The following is a 22611-nucleotide window of genomic DNA, read 5'->3' on the forward strand; positions in this document are numbered from 1 at the left end:
GAGTTTAAGGCTGCAGTGAGCTATGATTGTGCCACTGCACTCCAGCCTCAGCATCAGAGCGAGATCCTGTCAAAAAAAAAAAAAAGAAAAAGAAAAAGAAAAAAAAAGCCTGATTGAAATTCCCAGGAGCTATGTGACTTTGGACAATTCCTTAGCATCTTTCATACTCCAATGCTTTGTGTGAGATGAGTAAAGACTCCAGAGAGCAATGGGGAGGAAAGTGCTTTGTGAATCGGAAACACCAGATGGAAGTCAGAGTGAGTATCGTCAGCACCGTTAGCCACACTGGAGCATGCATTGAACACTGCTGCATGCCCAGCCTGGTGCAGGCTGCTATGTTGGACTGTGGTTGCGAGTACCCTTGCCCTATTTAATTCCCCTCAGGTACCAGAGGTGAGAATGTGGGCTAGGGGTGCTCACAGAAGTCACTCAGTCCACCTTACAGCAAGCCCTGTGGTTCCATCTCCGGAGGGTGCCCTGAATCGACCCTTTGCCACTGTACTATCATTGCTCTCACGGACTGTTGCAACAGCCTCTTTTTTGTTGTTTTTAATTGAAGTGTAACTTATAATGTTATATTTTTAAAATTGAAGTATAACACATGTTAGCCATGCAATTCAATGAACTTTACACCTGTGAATACTGCCACCCGGATCAGAATAGAAAATATTTCCAGTGCCCCAGAGGTGTGCTCCTGCCTGTTGACATCTCCCAGAAGCAACTGCTGTTCTGACCTCAATCTCTATGAATTTAGATTTGCCTGTCCTGGATTTATCTGTAGTGTTTTTGAGTGTATCTTTTTGTATAGATTTTTTTTAGTAGTTGCTCTAGGTATTACCATATATATCTACATACCTATATCTATTTGTCTATATCCATGTCCATCTACCCATCCATCCATCCATTCACAGCCTGCTGGTGTCAGTGTTTTACCAGTTCAAGTGAAGTGCAGAAAACTTACTTCCCTTAAGTTTCTTTACCCTCCCATTTATAATCTAATTGTCATCAATATTTCCTCTGCATGTTTTGAGAAGCACATCAGACAATGTTATGTGTGTGTGTGTGTGTGTGTGTGTATATATATATATATATATATTTTTTTTTTTTTTTTTTTAAACGGAGTTTTGCTTTTGTCACCCAGGCTGGAGTGCAGTGGTGCGATCTAGGCTCACTGCAACCTCTGCCTCCGGGTTCAAGCAATTCTCCTGCCTCAGACTCCCGAGTAGCTAGGATTACAGGTGCCCAACACCGCACCCAGATAATTTTTGTATTTTTAGTAGAGACAGGGTTTCGCCCTGTTGGCTTGGCTGATCTCGAACTCCTGACCTCAAGTGATCCACCTGCCTCGGCTTCCCCAAGTGCTGGGATTGCAGGCGTGAGCCACACAACAGGCCGTAATGTTATAATTTTTGCTTCAACCCTCAAACATAATTTGGAAAGCTCAAGAGAAGGAAAGTTGATCATATTTACCCGTATTTTTACTCTTTCCATTTTTCTTTCCTCCTCCCCAGTGTTCCAGGAGGATTCCTTCTTGTATCTTTCCTTTCGGTTTCAAGAACTTCCTTTAACTATTCTTTTAGGGTAGGTCTGCTAATAAAAAATTCTTAGTTTCCTTTATCTGAGAATACCTTGATTTTCCTTCATTCTTGAAGGATATTTTCTCTGGATATATGGTTCTGGGCTGGCAGTTCTTTTCTTTCAGCATTTGAAAACTGTTTTGCCACTTCTTTCTGGCTTCTGTGGTTTCTGATTTTAAAAATCTGCTGTAATTTGTTTTTCCCTGTTATTATTATTATTATTATTATTTTAGATTTTTTTTTAGGAATGAGGTCTCTGTTGGAGTGTCGTGGCACAATCATAGTTCACTGCAGCCTTGAGCTCTTGGGCTCAAGTAATCCTTGGCCCCAGGAGGCCTCAGCCTCCCAAATAGTCAGGACTACAAGTGCACGCCACCACACCCAGCTGATTTAAAAATTTTTTTTTGTAGAGATAGGGTCTTGCTATGTTGCTCGGCCTGTTTTTCCCTTTTAAATAAAGTGTCATTTCTCTCTTTCTCTGTTTTCAAGATTTTTTCATTGTCTTTAGTTTTCAAGAGTTTGACCATGATGTGCCTTGGAGTGGATTTCTTGGGGTTTTACCTGTCTGGAGTTCACTTAACTTCTTAAATCCATTGTTTGTCTTTTGCCAAGTTCAGGATTGTTTTCAGCTACTATTTCTTTGAATGTTTTTTCAGCCCCGACTCTTTCTCCCCTTCCTCTTGGACTCTAAAAACATGAATGTTAGAGCTTCTATTTTAGTTCCACAGGTTCCTGAGGTTCTGTCCTTTTCTTTCTTTTTTTTTTTTTCAAGCCATTTTCTCTCTGTTGTTCAGATTGGGTAATTTCTATTGTTCTATCTTCAAGTTCAATTACTTTTTTTTATCTCTTACCTCCATACTTTTTTTTTTTTTTTTTGAGATGGAGTCTCACTCTCTCACCCACCAGGCTGGAGTACAGTGGCACAATCTCGGCTCACTGCAACCTCTGCCTGCCTGGTTCAAGCGATTTTGTATCTCAGCCTCCCCGGTAGCTGGGATTACAGGTGTGCACCAACATGCCTGGCTGATTTTGTAATTTTAGTAGAGATGGGGTTTCACTATGTTGCCCAGGCTGGTCTCGAACTCCTGGCCTCAAGTGATCTGCCTGTCTTGGACTTCCAAAGTGCTGGGATTACAGGTGTGAGGCACCACACCCAGCCTCCATTCTATTTAGAAAGCTCACTGGACGTTGAGCCCATCCAGTGAGCTTTCTAAAATTCTATCAGTTTGGTTCTTCTTTGTAGTTTCTACATAATTGCTTAGGCTTTCTATTTTTCATTTGTTTCAAACATGTTCATAATTGCGTGCTGAAGCATTTTTACGATGGCAGCTTTAAAAATCCTTGTCAGATAATTCCAGTATTTGTGTCTTGGTGTTGTTGGCATCTGTTGGTTGCCTTTTCTCATTAAAGTTGAGATTTTCCTGGTTCTTGGTGTGACAAAATTTTTCCTTTTTTATTTTTTTGAGACAGAATCTTGCTCTGTTGCCCAGGCTGGAGTGCAATGGCACAATCACAGTTCATTGCTGCCTCGACCTACTGGGCTCAAGCAATCCTCCCACCTAAGCCTTTAAGTGTCTGGGACTGCAGCCATGCACCACCATACCAGGCTAATTTTTTCATTTTGTAGAGACAGGGTCTCACTATATTGCCAAGGCTGGTCTCAAACTCCTGGCCTCAAGTGATCCTCCTGCCTTGGTCTCCTAAAGTGCTAGAATTGCAGGCGTGAGCCATTGCTCATGGCCACAGATTATTTTTGTATTATACCCTGGACACTTGGGGTATTATGTTATGAGATGCCGGATCTTCTTGAAATCTGTTTCAGCAGGCCTCCTTTAACCCTGGGCCTTATTAATGCCAGGTGGGGGTAGAAATCCAGGTCCCCTACTTGACCTTGGTTGACACCCTGGTGGGGGTCAGGGGTGCCTCCTTACTTCTGGGCAGTGGTGGGAGTTCTGGCACCAGTGATCCCTCCCTGCGTGGGAAGGGAGGGTGCCTTGTTACTGCTCCTATGTGGTCTCCACTGACCTGATTACTCTTGGGTGGGGGTGAAGGTCAACCCAGCATGGAGAGGGAGGGGCACCTTGTTATTGCTGGGTGCAGTGGAAGTCCTGGCTCTCCCTCATTCTTCACTGTTGTCACCCTGGCGGTGGGGGATGGGGCTCCTAGTTACGGCCAGGCAAGGCTCCCCACCCGGCCTTTCCTCACAGGGGAGCATGGGCCTGGGGCTGTAGTTTCTTCCATGGTGTTTGGCTACAGTAGGGACGTCATTGTTTTAAAGGTTTTTGTCTTGCTAGGCTGGGTCTCTGCTGATCCTTTGGCTAAAGAGAGCAGGTTTTTTCTATTTTTTGTTTTTGTTTTATTCTTTTTTATTATGTTTTAGACCTATCAGCAGGAAGCAAAGAGCAGGTTTTTCTTGGGGCTGTTTTTGTCTATGTTTATTGGTATTTCTGGGTTGCTGACTTCTTCCAGCTCCAAATCTGGCATATATTGGGCAAAAAGAAAACCCAGGGAACTCACTGCTCTGTCACTGTTTGGTCTTGAGATCTCTAGTCAGTCTGTCTTCTCTCTGCCTTTAAGAGTCTTCTTCTGTTTGTTTTATATATAGGGGTGGTTTTAGCAGGAGGAATGGGGAGAAGTGTGTATACTCCATCTTGTTCAGAATCAGAAGTCCAGATTGATCTATTCTTGAACTTCACATAAATAGAATCTACTGTGTGTGCTCTTTTAAGTTTGGCTTCTCTTGCTCGGCATGATGTCTTTTCAAAAAAACTTTTATTGTAAAAAAAAAAAACCCACATAACATGAGATCTACCCTTCTAACAGAATCTTAAATGTACAATATTAACTACAGGCCCAATGTTGTGCAGCAGATCTCTGGAACTTTCTCATCTTACAAAGATGAAGCTTTATACCCATCGAATAGCAGCTCCCCATTTCTTCCTCCCCTCAGCCTCTGGCAACCACCATTCTCCTTCCTGTTTCTGTGGATTTGACTATTTTAGATACCTCATGTAAGTGGAATAATGCAGTATTTGTCCTTCTATGACTGACTTATTTAAGTTATCATAATATCCTCAAGGTTCACCCATGTTGTGGCTTGGGATAGGATTTCCTTTTTTAAGGCTAAATATTATTCCACTGTGTGTATATACCACATTTTCTTTATCCATTCATCCATTGATGGATATTTAGATTGTTTCCACATCTTGGTAACTGTGAATAATGCTGCGATGAACACAGGAGTACAAATTTGTCTTTGAGACCCTGACTTCAATTCCTTTGGGTAAATACCCAGAAGTGGTATTGATGGATCGTATGGTAGTTCTTTTTTTGTTTGTTTGTTTGTTTGAGACGGAGTTTCGCTCTTGTTGCCCCAGCTGGAGTCCAATGGCGCAATCTCAGCTCACTGCAACCTCCACTTCCTGGGTTCAAGCAATTCTCCTGCCTCAGCCTCCCAATTAGCTGGGATTACAGACATGCGCCACCACACCTGGCCAATTTTTTGTATTCTTAGTAGAGATGGGGTTTCACCATGTTGGCCAGGCTGTTCTCGAACTCCTGACCTCAGGTGACCCACCCGCCTCAGCCTTCCAAAGTGCTGGGATTACAGGTGTGAGCCACCGTGCCCAGCAGTAGTTATTTTTTAAATTTTCTTTATTTTTATATTTATTTTTAGTAGAGACGAGGTCTCGCTATGTTATCCAGGCTGATCTTGAACTCCTGAGCTCAAGCAATCCTCTTGCCTCTGCCATCCAAAGTGCTGGGATTAGAGGCGTGAGTCACTGTGCCCAGCCTATTTTTAATTTTTTGAAAAACCTTTTTACTGTTTTTTATAGCAGCTGCACCATTACACATTCCCACCAACAGGGCACAAGTGTTCAAATTTATCCACATCCTTGCCAACACTTATTTTATTATTATTACTTTTTAAATAATGGCCATCCTGACAGGTATGAGGTGATATCTCATTGTGGTTTTGATTTGCCTTTCCACAATGATTAGTGATGTTGAGCATTTTTTAATATACCAGTTGTTCATTTGTATGCCTTCTTTGGAGAAATGTCTGTTCAAGCCCTTTGCTCATTTTTAAATTTTTTTTAAGCTATCCAGTTATAGGAGTTTCTTATGTATTTTGGATCCTAGTCCCTTGTTAGATATGTGGTTTGCAATTTTTTTCCCCCATTCAGCAGGTTACGTTTTCACTCTGCTGTTTCCTTTGCAGTGCTTAGGCTTTTTAGTTTGATATGTAGTCCCATTTGTCTATTTTTGTTTTTGTTGCCTGTGCTTTTGATGTCAGATCTAAGAAATCATTGCCAAGGCCAATGTCCTGAAGTTTTTCCCTATATTTTCTTCTAGGAATTTTATGGTTTCTGGTTTTATGTTTAAGTTTTTAATCCACTTTGAGCTGATTTTTGTCTATGGTGTAAGATAATGATTCAAATTCATTCTTTTGCATGTAGAAAGCAGTTTTCCCATCACCATTTGTTGAAGAAGAACTATCCTTCGTATCATTTCCCCACTGTGTATTCTTGGCACCCTCACTGAAGATCTGTTGATCATATATGTATGGGTTTATTTCTGGGATCTTCATTCTGTTCCATTGGTCTGTATGTCTTTATTTATTTATGTATTGCTGGTGACCATAATATGCATATATGTCTGTTTTTATGACAGTACCATGCTGTTTTAATTACTGCAACTTAGTAATATGTTTTGAAATCAGGAAGTATGGGGCCTCCAGCTTTGTTCTTCTCAATATTTTTTGGCTATTTTGGGGACCTTTGTGGTTCCTATGATTTTAAGATTTTTTTTTCTATTGCTATAAAAATGCCATTGAGATTTTAAGAGGGATTACATTGAGTCTGTAGATTGCTTTGAGTAGTATGGATATTTTAAGAATATTAAGTCTTCCAATTCATGAACATGAGATGTTTTTGTTTGTTTGTATCTTCTTTAATTTCTTTCATCAATTTTTTATAGTTTTCAGTTTACAAGTATTTCATCTCCTAGGTTAACTTTATTCCTAAATATTTTATTCTTTTTTGATGTTATTATAAATAGAATTGGGTTCTTAAATTTTTTTCAGAAATTCAGAAATTTTAGAAAACTTTCAGAATTTGTCAGAAATTCTTTGTTATTAGTGTACAGAATCAGCTTGATGTCTTGAGATTTATCCATGTGATTATGTGTAGTGGGATCTTTTTCATTGCTGTGTAGTATTCCACTATGTGAACAAACCACACGGTAGAATTTATACAATGATATCCTACACAGCAAACTACCTCAACTATATGCAGTAAACTGCACAATTTGTTTTGCAGCCCCTCTGTGGGTGGGCATTTGGGTTGCTTCCAATTTGGAGATGTTAAGAACGAAGCTTCTATGAACATTCTTGGACGTGCGTTTTCACGGCTGTTAGCCCTAAATATCGCAAAAGCTTCTTAACTGGTCTCCTTGCCTCCACCCCGGTCTCCTAATCACTTCTCCACGTAAAAACCACTGTGATCTTCTGAAAACATAGTTTGGATCCCTTTCTCCCCGTGCTAAAAAATACCAATGGCTTCCCTTCATACTTAGAATAAAATTCAGAGTCCTCACCATGGCCTACAAGGGCCTCTGGGAGCCAGCCCCTGCCTGCCTCTTCTTTATCACTACCTCGTTTGCCACCTCTCTCTGTCTGGCTTGCTCTACCTACCATCCATTCATCCGCCCTCCCATCCACCCACCCAACCATTCAGCTGTGGGCTGCTTTCAATGCGCTCAGCTTACTCCCACCTCTAGGACATTTGCCCTTGCTGTTCCCTCTGCCAGAAACACTCTTCCTTCAAATCATCACATACCTCCCTTTCTCCCTCTTTTTAGATCTCTGTTCAAATGTCATCTCTTCAAAGGAGGATTCTAAAATGTTCCTGCCTCATACTCTCTGTCTCTTTAACCCACGTTATTATTATTGTTATTTTGAGACAGAGTCTCGCTCTCACCTAGGTTGGAGTGCAGTGATGCGATCACGGCTCACTGCAACCTCCGCCTCCTGGGTTCAGGCAATTCTCCTGCCTCAGCCTCCCGAGTAGCTGGGACTACAGGCACATGCCGCCATGCCCAGCTAATTTTTTGTATTTTAGTAGAGACAGGGTTTCACCGTGTTGCCCAGGCTGGTCGCGAACTCCTGAACTCAGGCAATCTGCTCGCCTCGGCCTCCCAAAGTGCTGGGATTACAGGTGTGAGCCACCGCACTGAGCCCACATTATTTTTCTTGGTAGCACTGCTCATCATTTGAACATATTTATGATGTGTCTCCCTTTGGCATGAAATCTCCCTGAGGTTATGGACATCATCTGTTTATCTACCGTGTTCCACCCTAGAGCAGTGCTGCACATAGTTGCAGTCAAGAAATGCTTGTTAAATGCATGAAGAAACTAGCATGGGATTTAGTCAGACACCTCAGTATTGACACCAGCTTCATTTTGCAGCTGTGTATTACAGTATGGGGCGAGCCCCTTAACCTAGGAGTCTCACACTCTGATCACCTGGGATCCTGTGAAAATGCAGATTCTGATGTGGGAAGTCTGGGGTGGGACCTGAAATGCCACATTTCTGACCAGCTTCCAGGTGGTGCCCAGGCTGCTGGGCCTTGGATAGCGAGGCCTTAACTGCCCAGAGCCTCAGTTTCCACACCTGTATAATGGCTCTTTATGAAAAAACACTGGATACGGTATAAAGCACCATGCACAGTGCCTAGATGTAGCAGGGACTCAGTGATTGTAATATTTGTTGCTCCTCCTCCGGGTGCCTGCCAGGGCCACTGGACATTTTCTACCCCCGATCTTCCCCCTCCCAAGTACCCACCCCACATGCTTAGCCACCTACACAGAATCCCACTAAAGCCTTTCCATTTTCTTTCTCTAGAGCTGGCCAGCCCTGCCTGTTGTGGGCTGGGGTTGGGGAGGATTCTGGCATTTTGACAGTCATGGGAATATTATGCAGATGAGATGCAAAGCAGCAGCTAATGAGCACTGATTGCATTTTCCCTGGCTCTGGGGAACACGTGGGATAACTGTGCTGAGCTGGGGAGAGGGGGCAATGAATGCTGTTGGGGAGCTGGATAAGGAGGCAAGGAGGGGGCTGACAGAAGGAGTAGGCATCTCCTAGGGGCATGAGGGCCGCTGCCCTGTGGTGTGGGCCAGACACCCTCCTCTGATCTCACCTGTGGGACAGGAACATGGCTAAGGTCCAGGAACAGGAGCTGAGGTTGGGCATGGAGTGTGTGTGTGTGTATGCGTATGTGCATGTGTGTGTGTATGTGTGTGCCTGTGTGTGTGTGTACATGATGTAGGGGGTGTCCCTGTGCCAGCGTGGGACCTGCAAGTGGGAGAGTAGAGGGCCTTCATTCCCAGCAGCAGTTGGGGCCAGATTAGGCTGACAGTGGGGGTGGGCTGAGGGTGGATGCTCTCTGTGCTGGGGAAGGAGGGGGAGACAGAAGGGGTCAGCTTCTTCCACAGGGCCTGTCTGGAATCCATTGAGTGTGGGAGGACAGGACGTGGGGTCTGCCTGGCAGCAGATGGGGCTGGATCAGGCTGACGGAGGGGTGGGTGGGAGGGCAGCTGTCTTTGGTATCCTTGGATGGAGCCCGGCTCTTTAAGAGAAAGATGATCCAGGGCTGGGGGCCGGCAGGTGGGCAGGGGGCTCTGCTTACAGCACCTGGGAACTCAATCCCTCCCTGTCCCCCAGCTGAGGCCTCCTCACTCTCTAGGAAGCCTCTGCTCTTGGGCGCCGGGAGTCCCCACCCTCCTGGCCTAGGCCTTGACCTGAACTCCCTGCCAAGGACCTCCAGGCCTGGGAATGGCTGACATCAGGCTTCTGGCCCAAGGAACGCAAGGCTGGAAGTCACTTCTGAGGTTGATTGTGGGGTCCTCGTGCCCACCACTTGACTGGGACTTTGAGTACTTACGATCTCATCCTGCCTTTGATCTAAGGATAGAAGCGAACTTGACTATGAAACTTTTAGAAACTGGGTGGCTGGTGCCGTGTTTCCCAATCAGATCTTTCTTAATGGAATCAATGTGAGGCACTGGAAAAGGCTTGGCAGACCGAGGGCTCGAATCCCAGCCTATCCACTGGCTGCCTTTGTCATTGTGGACAAACTGCTCCATCTCTCAGAGCCTATTTCCTAATCAGTCCAGTAGCCTCACCATGCAAGGCCCTGTGACAGCCAAAGACTGCAGGAGAGCCCTTGAGACAGGCCTGGGCTTTCCGAGAACCCACTAGCTCATCATCTCCTCAAGGGCAGGGACTCTGTTTTGCCCACAGCTGTATCTCAGTGTCTAGAACCATCTCTGACCCATGGTAGGTGCCTAGTCAGTGTCTGTTGAATGGATGAAATGCCCCATTTCTGCATCTCAAGATGATTTTTCTCTTATCTCTTGGCATCTCTAATACTGGAATGCTTCATGCAGCTATGTTTGAGTTTCACTGGCAGCAGCCTTGTGATTGAGAGGGGTCTTGGAAGTGATGAATACGGAAGAGCTATCATTATTACAAGAGGGCCTTTTGCTTAATTTGTGGTGGCTTCTGGTTCCTTTCTGTTGTATCTTCCCTCTCTGGGGAGTGTGGGGTCCCTGAGAATTACCCTGGGGCACAGGGGCTGCAGTGACCCTTGCCCGAGGCCCTGCAGTGGTGCTGGGCTGGGAATAGCATGTCCTGTGGGGCATGCTGTGTGTCCTGGGCCCCAGTCCCCACTCTGGTCTCCTGCCACCCACCACCCACACTGTCCCTCCTGGGGGTGGCAGAAGTCTAGAAGCCTGTGTGAAGCTTGGAATTCTCCTCTCTGGGAGAGTCATTTTACTGTGCCCTGTCATAACTCCAAGTACCGATGCTAGAGGGGTGAGTAGGGATATGTGTGAGCCCCCTAGGCTGAGGGGGCTCTAGGGGGGATCTAGTGTGGTTTTCCAGAATGAGAGTGAGGGAGGGTGGGCCCTGTCTCCAACCCCACCCCATCCCCCTTCAGCAGCAGAGCTGAGACACTGCTGAGATCAGATTAGTGCCTGATCCCCAGGTGGGGCGGAGCAGACAGGCAAATCCTCCCCTGGGAGGCCACTCATTATTCAGCCCCTTGATCCTGACACTTCTACTCCCATCCCTGAACCCTGCTCATGAGGCTAGCACCAGGGCTTGTGTGTGCCGCACTGAGTTTGTGTAGGAAGGGCTTGTGTGTTACAGGTTCTGAATCCATGTAGATGTGTGTGCACGTGTCTTAAAGATGTGCGTATGCTGATATTAGTGTCACAGTTACGTGTGTGTGTGTTATAGGTGCACTGTAGGAAGATACACAGACTTGTGGAAATGCATGTGTGCAAATATATGTAATGGGCGTTTGTATCTGTAAGTGTGTTGTTGGGGTGCACATGTCCTGGACACACGAGTGCTTAGGGCCACCCATGTGTGCGCTTGAGTGGTGTGTGGCAGCCATGGCCTGTGGGAGAAGTGTCGGAACTGGCATCACAAGGTCTCGGTGCCGACAGCTAGCCCAGGAACCTTGGACTCTCCAATTCTTTTACAGCTGTGGCCCTCAGCTTCCAATCTGTCAAATGGGTATGAAGCCTTATGGCACGAGGTTGTGCATGAGCATCTCTCACACTCAGCCTGGCCTAGAAAAAACTCAAAATTTTGAATTTTCATCAAATGAGAGAATAAATGATTAAACAAATAGAAATGCTTCACCCAGCAGCAAGCGCTTAGATTTTAAGGACCCAAGCAAAGTGCATGGAAAGGTGCAGCTGTCTGGAAGGACGATTGGGAGGTGGGATCTTGGGGAGAAAGGGAAGAAAGGGGATGGAGCAGGGCTTCCCAGTCGAGGGCGGCGGCCGAGCCTGTGTCCCCACCAGCGTCTCTGTGGCCGTGAAGTGTATGCATGCGTGCCCATGTTGATGCGGCGCCGTGCGGGAGGCGGGCATCCCCTGCTGTACATGGGAGGGAGGCTGTCTGTGCAGAGCATTGCCCAGTTGCCATAGAAACGAGCAGAAGGAGGTGGGTGGCTGGAGAAGGAGGCGGGTCGGGATCGGGGAGTGGGGAGGAGGCAGCGGTGGAGGGAGCTGGCTCCTGCAGTTCTGGCGCTGCTGCCTTCCTGAGTGAGCGGTGGAGGGAACCCTAGAGGACAGAGCCCCCAGCCCGGCAGCAGGCCCCCTCTCCGCCCGCCACCACGGAGGAGAAGGAGGACAGCCAGCCCCTCCAGCCCTGGCCTGGCCCAGCGGGGGCAGTAAGCTCCTACTTGCCCCCAGCTTGGTGCCCACACGGGCCCAGGTAGGCATTTCGATGGCTGGAAGAGGCTGTGTGGAGAGTGGGGAACGGGGCTGCCCTGCCTTCCTACCAGCGGCACCTGATAGGAGCCAAACAGGCCAGCTGGAGGGGCCGGGCCAGGGACCAGGCTGGGGAGCGGGGTGTGGGGCGCAGCCAGCATCCTGAGAGGTCTTGTCAGAACCGTCAGAACCTTGATCCTCCTCATCAGGGGGACTGTCCCTGTTGCCTTTCCTCCTCTGTACCTCTTGTCTCCACCACTGCCACAGGTCCTGACTTTGTAGCCATGCCCCCTCCTTGGGGCAGCAGGCCGAGGGAGGCTGGAGCCTCCAGGGACCCACAGTCTGAAGCTAGACAGGGTATGCGGCAGAGGGCAGGGAGGAGTAAGGATGCCCCTGCCCCACTCAAGGCACTGCTAGGCTCTGGCCATTTGGGATAAGCAGACTCTCCTCCCACCCCCGATGACACCAGAGCCTCCCTGCTGGCCCTGGATGGTCTCAGGCACTGGGCTTAGAGCCCCCTGGTCAGGTCAGAGGCATCTACCTCCTGCCCCAACCTCAGGCCCTTCCCCTTCCTCGTTCTCCCTGGAGACTTAGTGAACTGTCCCCAATCCCAGATCTCCCAAAGGACCCCCATGCCCATCCCCAGCAAGCCCAGGGTCTCCAAGTTGGGGTACCAGGGAGCAGGCCTCTGATGGGGTGGGAGTGCCTGTGGCCCTCCCTCCTGCGCTCCCTGTCCCTCTGCTGCATTGCTCCTGGGGACAGACTCGCTGCTGCTGGGGGAGCTCTTGGGCACTGCCACTGCGGAGGAGCCTCTGCCAGCTGCTCAGGAGGGGGCAGGGTGGGGTGCAGGGGAGGAGCTGGGCCCTCTGCCCCAACTCTGGGCAGGGAGGGGGCTGGAGGGGGCCCACAGGAGTTCACGGTGGGGCACACCTGGTCCAGTTTTGCCCTGAATGGAGCTGAGCCACCTTGGGTGGCATAGGGAGGAGATGCTAGCCTGCAAGGGGCAGAAGGTTGATGTGTGCAACTATGGGCGTGCTTAAGGTCCTGCCCTTCTCCACCTGCTTTCTCTCCCGCACCCCCTGAGAGCCCAGCTGGGTCTTTCACTGGACCACAGTGTGGGGTGTCCCCTTCCCATGGGCACTCGGGTCAGAGGGCCTGGTGCAGGGGCTGAGGAGGGGTCACATGATGGGTAGGGGCATACACGCTGAGAAGCTGGCGTGGCTCTGCTCATTTCTGCAAACGTTAGACGCACATTCACAGAGTGCTGGACTCAGGGGCTCCCACTTTGGGATCAAGGGCCTAGGAGGGAGAAGGGCAGGTCTCGGGGATGGCAGAAACGGGATGCAGATTCGCCTGTGCGCACTGACACTGCCTGCCCCTGCTCCTCCGAACCCCGCACTCTCCTCCTTCCTGACCAGGGTGGGAGCTGATATCTGCCCTGCCTCACCTCCTGCAGCCAGGCCTGCTGGCCTCAGTTGCCCGTCAGCGGCCGCCCCCACCTCCACTGGAGCAGGGGCTGGTGAGGCCTGGAGGGCAGGTTCTTTGGGTGAGAGCTGAAGGAACGTCTGTCCACTCAGCAGGCCCTCCAGGCCTGGCCCCGACCTCCAGCCCCTGGCCTGCCTCCTCTAGGCCCGGGCCCCTCCCTGTCAGGTTGCTGCTTCACAGGTTGGCTCGGGGCTGCCAGGATGGGCTTCTGGGACACATTTCCCTGGCCCAATTCATTGCACACAACGTGCCCACAGCCCAGGGCACCTGCCTGGAAGCCGGATTGAGACTTGACCTCCCCTGGCAGACCTTCTCATGTGAAAGGGAGCTTGAGGGAGGCCCCAGGAGCACTGAGAGGCCTGGAGCTCAGCAGGGGCTGGGGCCTGGGACACAGGAACAATCTGGCTCCCGGCTGGCCCCTCCTCACTGCCCTTGACCCCCGTGCAGGAGCTGGCAAGGGTGAGGAGGTATCTCCAGCTGGCTGTCCATGGGCATCTCAGGGCTCCAGAACTGAGCTCCCATCCCCCCAACGCCGTTCCTCCCTCGGTATCCCCAGCTCAGCAAACAGCAGCTCTGTCTGCCAGCTGCTCTGGCAGGAGCCATCCTTGACTTCTCATCTCACCGCCACATCCAAACCATCGGCAGATCCTGTTGGCTGGAATGCCACAGCACTTCCAGACTCCAGCCTCTTCCCGCTCCTTCTAACATTACCTCCTCATTCTGAGCCCCCATCTTCCCTCACCTGGGGGACTGCAGCCACCTCCTAGAGCTTCCCTGCCCACTCTGCCCCACCATGGTCTGCTCTTCCCCCAGCAGCCACAGATCCTTTAAAACAGAAGCCAGATCACATCCCACCTCTTCCCAAACCCTGCAATGGCTCCCATCTCACTCAGAAAAAGCTAAAGGCCTCCCTCTGACCTACAAGGCCCTCCCCAGTTCCCTCCCCCAACCTCTCCAGCCTCACCCCTCCCCTTCCCTCATCTGCGCAGGCCACATGACCCCCTTGCTCCTCAAGCCTGGCAGCCGGCTTCTGCCCCAGGGCCTTTGCATGGGCTGTTCAGGCTGCCTGAGTGCTCTGCCTGGCTCCCTCTCCACCTTCCTCAGGCCTTTGCTCCAAGGCCACCTGCTCAGAATGACCTTCTCTGACCATCCTCCATAAAAAAGCACAACTCCTCGCCCCCATCTTCCCTCCCTGTCCCCTCCCCTGCCTTGCTTTCCTTTACAGCCCTTATCACCTTCTAACATCCTTGATTACCACTTATTTATCTCGTTTCTTGCCTGCTCAGCCTCTCTAGAATGTCAGCCCCACAAGGGAGGGGGTTTTCTGTCTTGTTCACTGCTGTAGCCCAGCTCTGCACCCTGAGAATCAGGGCTGCAGTGTAAAGCCAGGAGTGTCTCCCTCGGGGGCTGGCTCAGCATCTGTGCTGTCGTGGGGGCCTATGATTCTGTCCTCACAGGGGAAGATGATGCCCACCTACCTGAGCCATTGCCTCAGGGACATTGGGTTGGACAGGACACTGGGCCTGCACTGGGTCCACACATCTTCCTTTTCTCCAATCCAGCTGTGACCAGAGCTGCTCTGCCCGGCCAGGCCCCGGAAGAGGGCAAGCTGCATGCATCCCACCCCAAGCCACTGAAGCGGGAGGGCCACGGCCCCTTCTTCCTGGTCAGAACTCATCCTTGAGTTCCCTGTGTTGCAAAAACGTGCTGCGCACTCCCACCAGGAGTGTTGCCCACAGAGGAGGCAGCCTGGCCCCTGCTCTCCAGGTGGCCACAGAGGCAGTGGGCTCAGGACAGACAGACGGACCCCTGCAGAGTGGCCAAGTGTGTGCTGACTGGTGTTGAGAAAAGAGATGCCCCAGAGCAGACAGGAGGGGGCCCTGCCTTCCCAACAAGCTCCTGTCTCTGCCTCCCCATCTGTGGGCATCTCACTTTGGGCTCCCCGAGAAGCCAACCCCAAGACAAGGATATGATTCATTTAGGAGGTGGCCCACAGAAACACTGAGGGTGGGAAAATGACACAGGGAGACAAAAAAGGGTGCTTTACCAAGCAAGTTACCACTGCGGGCAATTCAGCTCACTCCCGCTGGAGAGCTCTGGGAGGGGTTTTGAACACACCTTTGACTCAGTCCAGGAGGGCAGGGGAGCTGGGGTATGTAAACGCCACCTTCCAGTGGCTCTCCACCACCCTTTGCCCTGTCCCTCACGCTGGCTGAATTTTCTCTGAACTGTTGTCACCACCTAATGTGGTGATATTTATTGTATTTTCTTCTTGGCTTTTTGCCCATGCTGGAATGTAAGCTCCATGAGGGAAGGGCTGGTCTTACTCCCTGATGAGCCTGCCCCACCTGAAACAGGCTTAGAGGCCCTCTAAAGATGTGGGCTGTGCAAAATGGTGTCTTGTCTACTTGGCTTGAGAGCAGGGGAGGGATGTGGGCCTTTTGGGGTGATTTTCTGGAGGAGAGAGAGAGGGTCTGGGCTCTTAAGAGGGTGGCCGGAGGAGGAAGGGAGAGCACAGGGGTGGTGAAGGGTGAAAGGTCAGACCAGGAGTGGGCTAGGGAGGAGGAGGGGCCAGCCACAGAGGCTGGGGTGCCTGAGGCTGTGTCTGAGGCTCGCCTGTTCTCACAGGTGGGCCACCAAGGGGTGCCTTGGGCCCCTTCCTAGCTGGGATGAGCCCAGCTGGTCCCCTCTGCCCTGGGCCTCTCTGGGGCCCTCCAGCCTTGAGTAAGGTTTGAGCTCTGCCTCCCTGAGTCTCCCCATTTGTGTTTCCATCCTCCTCCTTCCTCCTCAACTTGGGATCATCATTTCTAATGAGCAGGCTCCCTGGGGACTGCCTGGAACACCCCAGGTTAGAGGGGATGGAGGTCCAGGGGACTGGTTTTCAGACCCAAAGAGAAAGCAAGAGGAAGCCAGGCCTGAGATCTTCCTTTCATGGGGGACCTGGAGACCTGAAGGTCCCAGGTGAGGCCCAACAGTCCTGGAAGGGCTCTGGGGGTATTAGCTGAGGAGGGGAGAAGGGGAGCCAGGTGATCCAGAGAGATGAGGCTCCTGTCATGAAGGCTCTGTAGCTGTTAACACCCATAATACTGCAGGTGAACTCTGGGCCTTCTGTGCACTGGGCACTCATTTCCTCCTACACCCCATGGGGGTAGGTGCTATCATGGGGGTAGGTGCTATCCCATGGGGTAGGTGCTATCATCACCTCCTTTTGCAGATGAGGAAACCGAGGCACAGAGAGTTTAACTAACTTGCCAAGGTCAGTGGCAGAGCAGGGATTTGAACCTCATCTGCAGATATTCTGTCTGGCCTCTTGGTGCTGTTAGCTATTGTGCTAATCAGCTTTTTGGGACAGCAGGTTGCCACTCCTGAACCAGCAAGACTGTTTAGGGGAGGGCATGCCTAAGAATGGCACCACAGTGTTGGTGTCAGATGAGGGGAGGGGTAGGCGAGGGCTGGGGTATTTGGGGAAGACTTCTTGGAGGGACAGGGACTGAGCTGGCCCTTGAAGGGAAGCAGAGGTTTTTTGGGGAGGGGTGAGTGATGGGAGGGAGGATGGCATGTGCCCTAGCCTGGGTTGTGGGGAGACATGAGCAAAGGGGCAGAGGCTCTAGTGGACACGGTGCATCTCAGCTGACTCAAATCCTCCCCGCTGCATTGGGAGCCCCAGCAGAGATGGGTCAGTCCCTGTGTGGCCCCAAGCCAGGCGCTGTGAGCCTGTCGGTCTATCTCTGGGTAAGGCGAGGAGTGGGTTGGGGGGCACTGCTGGGAATATTTGTAGGACCTGAGACCCTGGGGGATAGGCAGGCAGCTCTGGTTTCCCCATGTCCCTGTCCCTGAGCTGAGCCTGTTCCGTGGGGAGAAGGCCTTAGGCCAGGAGGGCTGGAGTGACACCCACAGACAGCCAGGAGCAGGGGCAGGGGAAGGACCCACCCCTGGGTCTGAGTCTGGCTCTGCCTCCTTCCTGCTGTGTGACCTTGGACAAGTTATCTAACTTCTCTGAGTCTCAGGTACTCATCTCTAGAACAGGGAAGGCAACAGCCATCTCAGTGGGCTGTGAGGTTTGGAGATAAAGCATGTGAGGAGGCGCTCACAATGGCACACAGTAGGCGCTCAAAAATGGTTGTGTTGTTGATGCCGCCTGCGTGCTGCAGTACCCCTGAGGACGGAGGAAGCCATGCTGAGGGCAGGATGGTCCTGGGACCACAGGGAGGAGGAGACCCTGGAACCGGGCCCTGAGGGCTGACCAAGAGGAGGGAAGGGCTCTCCAGGAGAAGCCCGGCTTGGAGACAGAGGGCGGGTGGGACTCGGGACCCCCTCCTGGCTCCTGGCTCCTGGTTCTGGTTGTGTCATCATCATCATCGTCAACATTGGCTGGGCGCCCACTGTGTGCAGGTAACTGTGTCTGGCTCTGGGATAGAAAATTCATCATTTCTGCTGTTTATTAAGTGAATGTTAGAAGGTCCTTGGCATTTATTCATTCATTCATTCAACAAAAGTGCACTGCGCACTTACTATGTTGCCGGCACTGCACTGGATGCTGGAAATACGGCAGATAACCAGACAGATAAACACCGCTGACTGGACTAAGTGACATTCCTGTGGGAAGGAGGACACGCAACGTGATGAATGCCGTGCTGTGGATGCCGTGTCCGGTGGTGACGAGGGCTGTGAAGAATAATACGGAGAGGACAGGGAGGAGGTGGGGGCTCAGGACCTGCTGGTGGCTGGGAGCAGCTGGGTGACTCCCAGGCCTGTGATTGGTGACCACTGAGGTAGGAATCCACACGGCGCCTTGGTCCACACGAGGCCTGGCCTCTCCAGGCTCCTGCTCTTAATTCCTCTGTCCCTTCCTCAAGCCAGGAGTAGATGGAACACAGCTGAGGGCCCTGCCCTCCAGGGTCTCCTAGAGGCAGCTTTCAGGAGATGCCTGGGCCTGAGGAGAGATGCCCTCCACGCTGGGGCTCCTTTGTCACTGAGGCCGCCATTACAGACTTGGCCCACATCTCACTGGTAGTAGTTGGGTGAGCTGGCTCCAGAGCCCTGCACCCCCCAGTCTGCACTTCACAGGCTGCATCATCCTCATGGACAAGAAAGGCAAGACCCTTCCTGGCTCCACAGAGAGAGAGGGCCACCCCTGAGATGGAGCTGTTGCTCCACTACAGGCAACGGCGGTGGTGGATGGATAGTAAGCGCCGACACCTGTGGAGAGCTCGCCGTGTGTCAGGCGCGGTCCAGTGGCCCGAGGTCTAGTGCTCCGTTTAATCCTTGCAACAGCCCATTTTACAGATGCGGACGCCGAGGCCTGGGAAGAGGGAGAGAGCCACACACGGTCTCACAGCCCATACATGAGAGAGCCAGGGTTTGAATCCAGATTATTTGGCTCCAGAGTCTGGGATGTAATCCTACTCTGCGCTGCACAGGCCCCAGGGTCAAGTCCTTACTCTGCCACCTGTAGCTGCGCGATCTTGGCTTACCTCTCTGAGTCTTGGTCTCCGCAAGAAGAAAAAGAGGAAGCCCCTCTCTGTGAGGATTGCTGTGAGAATGAACGAGGTGCTGGGTGTGAGGGCCTGTCCTGAGGAAGTGCTCAGTAAGCCTTGCTTCCGCTCTCCCTCAGGGGTCCCGGGGAATGAGGCTCAGCAGGGGCCACGCAGCAGTGGCTTCGGCTGGAGCGAGGATTCAATACCAGCTCCGCTGTTTACTGTCTCAAAGGCCATGCGTGCACTATTTTAGTCACTCCGTGCCTCAGTTTCCCCATCTGTAAATGAAAATAAGGCACACATAAAGCATCTACAGCCGTACCCAGCACACAGTAGGCACTCGGTAAACGCCAGCTAGTGATAGCCAATGTTAATGTCAACACCTCTCTATGTAATGATAGTGTGGTGGTCAGGAGTGTGCGCTCTGGATCCAGACCCTGGGCTCAAATCCCAGTTGCACCTTTCCCTAGCTGGGTGTATTAGGCTCCCCAGAGAGACAGAACCAATTGGATGGATGGGTGGATGGATGGATGGATGGATGACAGATGGATAGATAGGTAGGTAGAGAAAGATGGATGAGAAGGGATTTATTAGGGGAGCTGACTCATGTGATTGTGAAGAAGTCCCATGTTACGCTGTCTGTGAGCTGCTGGGCCAGGGGAGCCGGTACCATGGCTCCAGGTCCAAAGGCCTGAGAACCAGGGGGGCCATGGGGTAACTCTCAATCTGCGGCCAAAGGCCTGAGGACCTCAGGGGCTGCTCATGCAAAGTCCCCGAGTCCAAAGGCCACAGAACCTGGAGATCTGATGTCCAGGGGCAGGAGAAGAGCGTCAGCTCCAGAAGAGAGCAAGAACTCACCTTTCCTCTGCCTTTTCCTTCTCTCTGGGCCCTCAGCCGATTGGGTGGTGCCCGCCCACATTGCATGAGGGCAGATCTTCCTTCCTCAGTCCACTGATTGCAAAGCCGGCCTCTTCCCGAAACACCCTCACAGGCATACCCGGAAATAATGCTTCACCAGCTCTCCGGGTATCCCCTAATCCCATCAAGCTGACCCCTGAAATTAATCATCACACTGAGCAACCTTTGGCAGGTTACTTCGCTGCTCCGTGACTCAGTTTCCTCATTTATAAAACAGTGTAACAGTAGTTCCCACATCACCTGGCCGTTGTCTATTCATTGAGCTCCCACATGCAGTGCTGTGCACCGTGCATGGGACATTCAGCCCTCACTGCCTGCTGGCCACTGTCATTGCTGTGATAGCCTTAAATCATAAGATCACACAGGGATGCTGTGATGCCCTGGGCTCACTTCTCCCGTGGTACCTGGACAAGCTCTGTCCCTGTTACATCCCGGAGCCCCTGGATTCTCAGCTACAGTGTGGGAGTGACAGCAGAATCTGCCTGGTCAGGTTGTGGTGAGGATTAGAGGAGGTAGACTTGACATGTGAATGGTATGTGCCCAATCAATGCCAGCTGTCATTTATTGAGACACTAAAGTGTCTTCAGGGCTGAGCTAGCCTCACAGCCACTGGTGAGAGAAGGCAGATGGGCCTGGTGCCCCTTTGAAGGGTTGAGGAAGGCCAAGAGCATGTTGAGTTTGCCCACAGGGAGTGCCAGGTGACAGCCACATCCCTTTCTGATGGTGAGAGATGCAGCCTTTTTAGTGACAGCAGGTACCGACTGCCCTTCAGGAAGGACATGGCGTTTGTCCAGAGTTGAGCCTCCTGCCTGCCCCTAGGGTGGGGGTGTGAGGTTAGTTTGGAAAAGGCAGAGGCAGGATGGGAAGGTGTGTCTAGCCACATGATACGGGGGTCCACATGCTGTCTCCTGGCTCTTCTTCCTGAGCCCACCACTGTGTGGGTCAGAACCGAGGTTGGAGTTGGGAGGGCCTAGGGTCTGCCATGGCTGGACACTCACCACCTCATCTAATCCTTAAGTCAGTCATTTCGTCCTCATTTCCCAGCAAGGCCCAGAGAGGCCTGCGAATTGCCCATGGTCACACAGCAGGTTGGTAGCAGAGCAGGGACCCTGAGGTTGGAGCTGTTTCACTACACATGCTCCCTCATCTGGAAGCTGGAGAGACACGTTACCTGCCAATACCAAGGGTGGACCCCAGCAAGTTCCAAGAACCCTGGGCCTGGCCTTTTCTGGACGAGGTAGAGAGTGGTCTCAGCCATTGGGTATTTTGGCCTGACATACCAGGTCTCAGCTGTACTGTCCCTTCCCTCCATGCTGACAGCACACTCCATCCTGGTTTCCAGCTCCCTCAGCTCTCCCCCAGCACAGGCCAGAGGGTTTAAAAAATGTACACACGAGGCACATTAAAAAATTCATGCACATGAGGCAAAATTAAAAGGGCACAAAAGGACCTACAGAGAAAAGTCTCTCTCCCCCTGCGTCCCCTGGCCACCCCATTCCCCGAAGATGGTCACCATCACCAGTTTCTCTTGTGGTCCTCCAAAACACTCCCTACTTATGTATTTTCCCCAGCCACATGGGTCTGCACCTTGCTCTTTTTGCTTTAGTGATATGGTCTGGGGAAGGTTCCATTTAGGAGCAGAACTTCCAAGACAGGCCTGCACCATAACTTATTGACCCAGCCCTCTGTGGACGGGTATTTGGGCTGTTTCCAGCCTTTTGCGTTTACAAGTAGTACTGTAGTAAATAATCTTGTGCATCATCTGGCTGACTGACTGGAAGTAAATTCCTAGAAGTGGTGTTCCCGGGTGAAGGGTGTGTACCCCATAATTGTATCAATAACAATTGTATGGTATTAAGTTACTTTCCCATCACCATGGGCGAGAGACAAATGGCTCAGGTTCTACCTTTGTTCCCATGAGGGAATGCCTCCAACCAACTCCTGCCCGCCCCCCAGCAGCCCCCTGGCAGCTATGCATTACGGGAGAGTTCTATGTGACATTAAGGGTTCTAGAAGGGACTGTGGCCCCAGGGATACCTATCTCACCTGGCTGACCATGCTTCCTTAAACATCCCTGCTTTTCACTTCTCTGTATCTAAATTTAAAACGTTCCTTATGAAGCAAGTACTGCTTTATAAGTGAAAAGTGCCAAGTTAAGAAAAGAAAAATTCAGACTCATTTCTTTGTCCCTTGATGAAATCCAGCCGTCCTCCCTCTCACCCACCCGCACTGTGCGTGAGTTTATGGGAAAGTCTGTCTGTGGTTCTTCTAAAAGGGAGGGAACAAAATATGTTTAGATGCCTGAGGGGTGCAAGAGGCAATACTGGGTTATTACTGGGAAAGAGCCCCAGGCCCTGGACAGATGGGGAGCCCTAGGGGGAGGGACATCCTCCACCAACCATTCTTACGTGTTATTGCCCCTGCCCTGAGCCTGAGAGCCAACTGCTGGACCCCCAGGTTGGGCTGAATCTTACAGAGGCCAGCCTTCCCTGAGCATCCACACTGTCAGGGTTCACAGTCCTGGGACTGCAGTGCAGAAGCAGGGAGGTGTCCCCTGGTGCCGGGATCCAGCTAGAGGCTGGCAGCTTGTATCAGGGCCAGGCGCAGCCTGGACTCTGCTGCCTCTTTGAAAACCAGGCCCTTGGCCCTCTGAGTCCTGGCTCCTGACTACTGAGCCATTCTTGCCTGGGGTAACAGTGAGGCCTGGCTGGGGGAAGGGAGGAGGGGAGTACCCACCTCGGCCCTGGGGCAGCGCACGGCCTAGATTGGATAACCCTGATGCCTGCCGACAGATCCAGGGCAGACACAGCCACCCCAGACGCTCCCATAGATCTCGGTGGTGTGACCTGTGGGCCAGGACAC

General features: G+C 51.4%; 1 protein-coding gene across 4 annotated transcripts in view, besides 3 other annotated features; it reads left to right on the top strand.

Moving 5' to 3' along the window:
* Positions 1-22611, top strand: part of PACSIN1 (protein kinase C and casein kinase substrate in neurons 1) — a 69148-nt gene that overhangs the window by 37120 nt on the left and 9417 nt on the right. The window contains exon 1 of one of the 4 annotated variants that reach the window (NM_001199583.3): positions 11677-11873. The exons of the other annotated variants lie outside the window; for them this stretch is intronic. The gene's annotated coding sequence lies outside the window, so the exon portion shown is untranslated. Of the gene's footprint in view, positions 1-11676; positions 11874-22611 lie in introns of those variants that run through there. 4 annotated transcript variants of the gene reach the window in all.
* Positions 10167-11070: an enhancer, noted in NCBI's record as "H3K4me1 hESC enhancer chr6:34481139-34482042 (GRCh37/hg19 assembly coordinates)". NCBI's record gives its function as "activates a minimal SCP1, AML or CMV promoter by ChIP-STARR-seq in naive H9 embryonic stem cells {active_cell/tissue: H9 hESC(naive)}" and the evidence as "EXISTENCE:reporter gene assay evidence [ECO:0000049][PMID:30033119]".
* Positions 11337-11631: a silencer, noted in NCBI's record as "tiled region #11676; HepG2 Repressive DNase matched - State 20:ReprD, and K562 Repressive non-DNase unmatched - State 8:EnhW". NCBI's record gives its function as "represses a minimal TATA promoter and a strong SV40 promoter by Sharpr-MPRA in HepG2 and K562 cells {active_cell/tissue: HepG2 | K562}" and the evidence as "EXISTENCE:reporter gene assay evidence [ECO:0000049][PMID:27701403]".
* Positions 13779-14681: an enhancer, noted in NCBI's record as "H3K4me1 hESC enhancer chr6:34484751-34485653 (GRCh37/hg19 assembly coordinates)". NCBI's record gives its function as "activates a minimal SCP1, AML or CMV promoter by ChIP-STARR-seq in naive H9 embryonic stem cells {active_cell/tissue: H9 hESC(naive)}" and the evidence as "EXISTENCE:reporter gene assay evidence [ECO:0000049][PMID:30033119]".

This window comes from Homo sapiens, chromosome 6 (genome assembly GCF_000001405.40).
Source record: "Homo sapiens chromosome 6, GRCh38.p14 Primary Assembly".
Classification (NCBI taxonomy): domain Eukaryota; kingdom Metazoa; phylum Chordata; class Mammalia; order Primates; family Hominidae; genus Homo; species Homo sapiens.